Genomic DNA, 7,819 nt, shown 5'->3' with positions numbered 1-7,819 from the left:
TATACATTTACCATATGTGTTAATTTTTAAATCTTCTCAGGGCGCCTCTTAATGACCCACAGGCCTCCCTACCCACTTCCCTGGATTCCCAGCCCCTCCTCAGAGAGGCATCTGCCAGTGGGGCTGAAGGCTTGAGGGCCCCACCCTGGCTTTGTTAGGGGAGAGGATTTGTGGAGGCCTCTCTCTGCTCATTACCTCCCACTGGGCCCTCGGGGTAGATCTTATCACTCGTCTGCCTTTTAAACTGCCATTTGACTGGCGAAAATCACAGCTGCCCTTTATCTGCTCACACCATTCCTACACACCCTGTCCCTGGGCAGCTGTGGAAAATTCTTGATTAAGATCTCACAGAGGAAGGAGCCTGAGGGGGCCTGGGCTGGTTTCCAGCAGTGCTGTGGTCCTGGGCAGAGTGAGGGGCCCTGACTGTGCTTGCCAAGGGTGACCTTGGGCAAGTCACTTGCTCCTCCCTCCAGAAAACCCTGGCCTAGACAGCTCCAAAGTCCCTTTCTGCTCTGGAGGGGTACATTTGCTGCTTCAAGAAACCTCTTCTGCCCCTCTGCCTCTCTATGGGGTAAGAGAGGGTTTTAGCAGGTCCCCTCGAAGGACTCATCATAGGACATGCCAAGAGACTGCAGACACCTTGTCCCAAAGCACAGACCCCCAGGAAGGGGAAGCCTGCATTTGGATGGAATTTAATCAATTTCAGAAATGTTTACAGAGGCACTCTTTTTGATGGTTGGTGGGGACACAGTGCTAGGTCACACACAGTCCCTACCTTTCAGGACTCTGGCTTCCAGGAGAACCCATGGGCCAGGCCTTTCTGATCTGAGGTTCTGTGTACCTGGAGCAAAGCCCTTGATTTGGCCGCAGAGTCTCAGTTCTCGCCGTTTCTGTATGACTTTGAGCGTGAAATTGACCTGGGTGAACATCAGCTTTGCAGCAGCAAAATAGAAATGACACTTCTACCAGGCATCCCTCGCCCCTGGCTGAGTGCAGTGGGCCCCTCGGATCTCCTGGCTCTCAGACAGAACAGGAGCAGTGAAGAAACTGAAACTTTCAGCCGTCAGGAAACCACAGATGCGGAAACCCCAGAGAAGCAGAAACCCCAGATGCAGGTCCTGAAATGGTGAGGACAGAAGGCCCTGCTGCAACCTCAGAATCTCAGGGCCTCCTGTCTTTGCGGCTACAGAGGCAACTCAGCATTTATTGTGCTCCTCCTGTGTACCAAGCACTGGACCTCACAGCCTAACCTGGCAGACAGACCAGCAAGGAGATCATGCAACTGGCCAGCAGAGGAGGAAGGCTGTCCAGAGGAAGGAGAGGGGAGAGGGGAAGGGAGGTGTGTGGGTAAGGATGGAGGGGAGATGACAGGGGAGAGGAGGGAAAGGAGCTCAGGAGGGGTGTGGTCATTGCAGGGGGAGAGGCAGTGGGACTGAGGCCCACATAGTGCTGTGGGGTGGGGAAAGGAGGGAAGAAATACTGGGAGATGAGGCTAAAAGGGATCCAATTGTTTCTTCATTCCACTGCGTTTATTGAGTGCCCACTGCATACCATGCCCTGTGCTAGGCAAGGGAGGCACCACAGGGAACAAGACAGAGACCCTGCCCTCCTAGAGCTCACATTCTAATGGAAGAGACGGTAAATAAACAAGCAAGTATTATAATACATTTAGTGATAAGTGCTGTTAAGAAAACAAAGCTTTTTTTTTCTTAGGAAGGGTACATTAGGCCTCTTTGAGAAATTCGAGCCAAGCTCCAACAATGAGAAGGAGCCACCCACATGTGAGCAGGTATGAGCACAGGGGTTCCAGATGAGGGCAAAGCATGTGCAAAGGCCCTCTGGCAGGACTGTGGTGTGGGCTTCGAGACTGGCAAGGAGGCCTGTGTGGCTGGAGCAGAGGGACCAAGGAGTTGGCATTCAAGACATGTAAAAGGGAACATCCAGCCTTATAGGCCAGGGTTAGAAGTGTCCTATTCTATTCTACAATGGTCAGGTTTATTTTTACAAGCTTATTTTGGCTGTTGTCTGGAGAATGGGCTGAGGGAGAAGGGCTAGGTAAGACTAGTCAGTGGGCATGGTGGCTCACACCTATAATCCCAGCACTTTGGGAGGCTGAGGCAAGCAGATCACCTGAAGTCAGGAGTTCAAGACCAGCTTGACCAACACAATGAAACCCCGTCTCTACAAAAATACAAATATTAGCTGGGCATGATTGCGGGTGCTTGTAATCCCAGCTACTCGGGAGGCTGAGGTGGGACGATTGCTTGAACCCGGGAGGCGGAGGTTGCAGTGAACCGAGATTTCCCCATCGCACTCCAGCCTGGGTGACAGAGTAAGACACCGTCTCAAAAAAAAAAAAAAAAAAAAACAACTAGTCAGGGGCCATTGAAGGTACAGGACAGTGATGGCCAGACTTGGGGAATAGCTGTGGGATGGCAGGATGGTAAGAAGGTTTGGGAGCTGAGACAGATTCTGAAGGCAGAGCCAACAGAACCAGCATGTGGATTTGTGTGGGGCAGGGTTCAAAGGAAGGAGGGACACGGGAGAGCTCTATGGGGGAAATTATTGTATTGTTTCCAAGTAGAGAACCCTGATGGGAAGGCCTTGAAGGCCAGGGTAAGAAGCCTGGCCTTTGTCCTGGGGTCTCAGGCCCCATCTGTTTCTGAAAAGCTGGCCCAGGGCAGCAGTGGTGTGGTGAACGGTGCAAGGCAGAAAGAAATGGGGCCAGGGAGGGCCAGGTGAAGGCTATGGCAACAATCAGGCTGGAACAGACAATGACCCTGGCTATGAGTTCCAGGGCCCACCCTTGACTACTCACAGACTTCGGCATCACACTGGAACCTCTAACAATGCTGATTCCAGGGCCCCACCTTGGAGATTCTGTGGACCTCGGCAAGAGGAGGTGAGGGGCAGACATCAGAGTTTTTTGAAAGCTGCCAGGTGATTCTGAGGAGCAGTCTGGGCTGAGATCCAGTGAGCTACAGAGGACAAGCTTTCACACACAGACTCCCACCCCAACCCCATCCCCAGGTCCTTGCGTCCGGCCCGGTCCCACGAGGCTCGCCTGGAGAGGATGGGTATGATGCAACCCTGGTGTCGTGAAATAGCCGGGTAAGAGGATGCGCTGCTCGTCGGCCTGATTCACAACACCAGCTGCAGCAACGATACCAGAACTCCGCCGGCTTCCTCCTCTGGGCTGTGGCTCCTCCGGTTTTGAGACAGTGATGAACCCATACAACACCTTCCCCAACCAATGGCTCCCCCAGGCCAGTATGGCACCAGGGCTCAGGGGTGCATATGGTGGAATCTGGGTCCCTGCCCACAAGGGGCTCACAGACTTGATGTTCATGGGGAAGAGGGGAACAGACATAAAAAAAAAACCTGTACAATGCAGGGGGTGCAGAGAAACAATGGAGGTACTGAGCACTGGGAAGGCCTGGGAAGCCAGAGGCTGGACTGCAACCTCTCCAGCAACCAGGACCAAGAAATTGAGCCTTGAGGACGGGTGCAGGGGCTCACGCCTGTAATCCCAGCACTTTGGGAGGCTGAGGCGGGTGGATCACGAGGTCAGAAGATCAAGACCAGCCTGGCCAAGATGGTGAAACCTCGTCTCTACTAAAAATACCAAAATTAGCCAGGCGCAGTGGCAGGTACCTGTAATGCCAGCTACTTGGGAGGCTGAGGCAGGAGAATCGCTTGAACCCAGGAGGTGGAGGTTGCAGTGAGCCGAGATTGCATCACTGCACTCCAGCCTGGGTGACAGAGTGAGACTTTGTCTCAAAAAAAAGAAAGAAATTGAGCCTTGAGGAGCACACAGGTGTGTCTATTGCAGTCCTGGTCCTCTACCTGGACAATGTTATAGCAGTTAGACACTAAGGTAATTGAAGCTATCGATAGCTAAAGCAAAAAAGGAAACATATATGATGAGTTAAGACATTTTCATTGTTAAAGGAAGAACTCCCAGCCAGGTGTGGTGCCTCACGCCTGTAATCCCAGAGCTTTGGGAGGCTGAGGTGGGAGGATTGCTTGAGCCCAGGAGTTCAAGACTAGCCTAGGCAACATAGAGAGATCCTGTCTCTACAAAAAAATTTTAAAAATTAGCCAGGCATGGTGGTGCACACCTGTGGTTCCAGCTACTTGGGAGGCTGAAGTGGGAAGACCACTTGAGCCCAGGAGGTTGAGGCTGCAGTGAACTGTGTTTGCCTGGCTCCAGTCTGAGATCTTGTCTCAAAAAAAAAAAAAAAAAAAAAGAAAGAAAGGAGTACTCCTAGTTCCTTTTTCTTCATGGACAGACTTAAAAAAAAAAAAAAAAAAAAACCCTATTTAGCCAACATTCATTCCACACTTGTAGATATTAATAATGCATTAAACACAATCTGGCTATTTTGAAGGACACACAGAAGGATAAGGCATGGTCATCGTCCTCAGGAGCATACAGTTCATCAGAGGAGGTAAAGCCAACAAATAGCCACAAGCTGAGGCGGGAAGACATAAATCCCTGGATAAAATGCTACACGGGTTCAGAGAGAGGATGATTTCCTCTGGCTTGTACCAGGGTGGAGTGAGGTAGATGACACAGAAAGCAAAAAGATAAGCAATTATTTAAGAAGGACAAAGTCCAATGTTAGCCTGGAGCTTCGTGGCAGCTCCAGGCAGAAAGCACAACCATGATCAGTAGTCACTACCTGATGAACGAGTGAGATTTACTTTCTTCCTTTCTTCCTCTTCTCGTTAAAAATAAATAAATAAATAAATAAATAAATAAATCCCCATCAACTCTTTATCTGTCCATGCAGGTTTAGCTGGTGCTCAGCCCTGCTGCATCAACACGAACTGGAGCAGTAATTCTAATAAAAATTCAGTCCTGTAATAACAGACACAAGCATATGTTCCTCCACCCTGATGACTCTGCCAATGTGCTCTCCAAGAAACCAAGGACTCGAACCCATTGTCTTCACTATCTTTGACCTTTCTTTTTTCTGAGACAGGGTCTCACTCTGTCACCCAGGCTGGAGTGCAGTGGCGTGATTACAGCTCACCACAGCCTCACCTCCCAGGCTCAAGTGATCCTTCCATCTCAGCCTCCCAAGTAGCTGGGACTACAGGCTGGGACTACACTACACCCAACTAATTTTTTAAACATTTTTTTTGTAGAGACAGGGTCTTGTTGCCCAGGCTGGTTTCGAACTCCTGAGCTCAAGTTATCCACCTGCCTTGGCCTCCCAAAGTGCTGGGATTACAGGCGTGAGCCACTGTGCCTGGCCAGCCTTTTATTTTCAAATTTCATTGGAAACCTTTTCTTTTTTTCTTGAAAGCAATAGGGGAAACATGATCATTCTGTTCCATTTTGAATTCCACAGGTAGACTTCCAATCAGAACACTCTTTAATGGATATTTTTGGAGTCTAGGGGCCTTGCTCCTGTGACCAGAACCAGGAGGCCTAGAATCTCAGAGCTGCTTTTGAAAGCTAAGCTCCCCGACCCACTCCCTCAAGCCAGGCCCAGTCCAGGGAGTGAGGAAGGATGTGAGCCGAGAGGCCTGGCTGAGATCTGTACAGCCTGCTTTCTGACCTGGTGCTTTTAGGTCACTGTTTGTCAAATGGAGATAATTCTACCCAGCCGTGGGTTTTCCGATGATATTAAGAGGGGATCTGTGAAAGCAGCATTTTGGAGGACATTAATAATGCTCTGCAAATGTAAACTTTCTGGTTTTTTTTGGTTCTAGCCCTTAAGCTACCAGAAAAGAAAGGTGGGAGAAAATGTACTCATCCTCTACTTGTTTAAGGCAGTGCTCTTTGGTAAGGGCAGCTGCTACATGTTTTTGTTTGTTGGTTTGTTTTTAATTTTTAAAAGTTGAGGCAGAGGGAGGAGTGGGAAGAGGAGGAGCTCAGGTCCAAAAGCAGAAACGCAGAGTTGGCTTTTAGAGTCATCAGAGCCCAGGCCTTGACAGGCATTGCATGCATGTAAAAGCAGAGAACGTTCAGCGTCCTAGAAGCTCAGTGTCCAGAGGCTCTCCAACATCTGGTTGACTCTCCGCCAGATACCTGAAATAAGCGGCTTACTTCCTTACCATCCCCCAGCAGAGCTGTAAAGGATCTTCTGCCAGTGGTCACCCAGCACCCCAGGGTTCAGATGCAAGAAGACACAGGGGCTTCCCTCCAATGGGAGTCTGCACTCCAGGCTGGGGCCATGGTGGACCTTCATGCTCTGGCTCGGTGCAGGTCCTGCAGGGTATGGATCCCCACAGCAGGAAGTTTGAGGGGTGGTCTGGAGAACAGAAGTTGGCTCCTTACCCCGAAGGAGTTTGTGCACTGAAGAGGCTCGGGACAAGCCCATTCAGGGCACGTGCCTGCCAGTGGTGAATGCAGGAAGGCCAGGGGCAGCCGGACACTGGGAAAGAGCATCTTTGATCAGGGTCCCCGGGCTCCAGCCAGAGCTGTCAAGTGCTCATTCACTTGTGATCTCCTTAAAAATGTGCCCCCTGAGCCCCTCACACACAACGATGCTCTTTAATGTGTGTGTGTGTGTGTGTGTTTTTTGAGAGGGAGTCTCACTCTGTTGCCTAGGCTGGAGTGCAGTGGCGCAATCTTGGCTCACTGCAACCTCCAAAGCCATTCTCCTGTCTCAGCCTCCCGAGTAGCTGAGATTACAGGCGCGCGCACCACGTCCAGCTTTTTTTTGTATTTTGGTAGAGACGAGGTTTCACCATGTTGGCCGAGCTGGTCTCGATCTCCTGACCTCAAGTGATCCACCTGCCTAGGCCTCCCTAAGTGCTGGGATTACAGGCGTGAGCCACCGCGCCCGGCCTCTGATGCCATTTTTAATGGTTAACTTCCCAACATTAAAAACCATGTTGGACGGCTAGGCTGGCTTTGACCTTGATGGGTATAGAGTTGGCAAGCTGACCCAATGGGACTTGGGGTGGTACATGTTCTTCCCTAACCAGATAGAATTTGTATCTTCCTATTTAGTACATCTCAGACATTGTATGAAAATCTGTGTTGGGGAAGGGGTTTGGGGGATTTCCACATTTAGAAAGATCCACAGGCCTACTTCATCACTCCCTGCTTCAGTAACAGCAATGGTTCCTGACCCTAGCAGGGCATGAAAATCACTTGGGAAACTTCTAAAAAACAAGAATCAGTGCCTCGGCCCCTCCCCAGGCCAATTAAGTGGGAAGCTCAGGGGGCAGGGGCTAGGAAATCAGTAGCGGCAAGAACTCCTTGGATGACTCTAAGATGAAGCCAGGGCTGTGAATTGCAGGGCTGGCACTGTGAGCTAGAGGAAAGAAGACGTTAACTAAGGCTGTGTGCAGCACAGAATCTGGCTCTTCTTGATAAAGGGATTGCTGATCTCAAGGTTTTTTTTTTTAAAGTTATCTTTCATGTTGTAAAAGGCTTTTAAAGAGCTTTTTCTCTCCTGGTTAGACACAGGAATACATAAACTAGCTACCAGCCCTTTTGTGCTGGATTCATTGCCCAAGGACAACAGGTAACCTTATAATTATTGGTTTGCACAGAAAGTGTGTGCCCCCAAGTCAGACCACCCCTGACTCATCTCTCTGCCTCATGGGCCACATACACCCCAGATGCCCTCCATACCCGCCACACACTTACCTCTTGAACAAGGGAGATGCCCTAGTCAAGCTTCTGCTTGGCCAGGGAAGGGATAAACATGAGGCCTGGGACCTCTGGCAGGCCCCTCAACTCACCTGAGTCCTGCTGTTTCTCCTGCTTCGGGGTCATAGGAGAGATTAACAGCTGCACGACACCGCTGGGGCATATGAAGCAGGCCAGCTGCAGCCAGGCCGAAGGGACCTG

General features: G+C 50.4%; 1 non-coding gene across 1 annotated transcript, besides 1 other annotated feature; it reads right to left on the bottom strand.

The window, feature by feature from the left end:
* Positions 1,000 to 1,399: an enhancer, noted in NCBI's record as "active region_10853". NCBI's record gives its function as "activates an Ori minimal core promoter by ATAC-STARR-seq in GM12878 lymphoblastoid cells {active_cell/tissue: GM12878}" and the evidence as "EXISTENCE:reporter gene assay evidence [ECO:0000049][PMID:35858748]".
* MIR138-2 (microRNA 138-2) lies at positions 3,081 to 3,164 on the bottom strand. The gene has a single exon (NR_029680.1). It is a non-coding gene; the product is annotated as a microRNA 138-2 (primary transcript).
* Positions 3,165 to 7,819: the final 4,655 nt, after the last annotated feature.

Source organism: Homo sapiens, chromosome 16 (genome assembly GCF_000001405.40).
Source record: "Homo sapiens chromosome 16, GRCh38.p14 Primary Assembly".
Lineage (NCBI taxonomy): Eukaryota > Metazoa > Chordata > Mammalia > Primates > Hominidae > Homo > Homo sapiens.
Note: the sequence above shows the minus strand (reverse complement) of the source record. Positions and strands in the feature narration are given on the sequence as shown.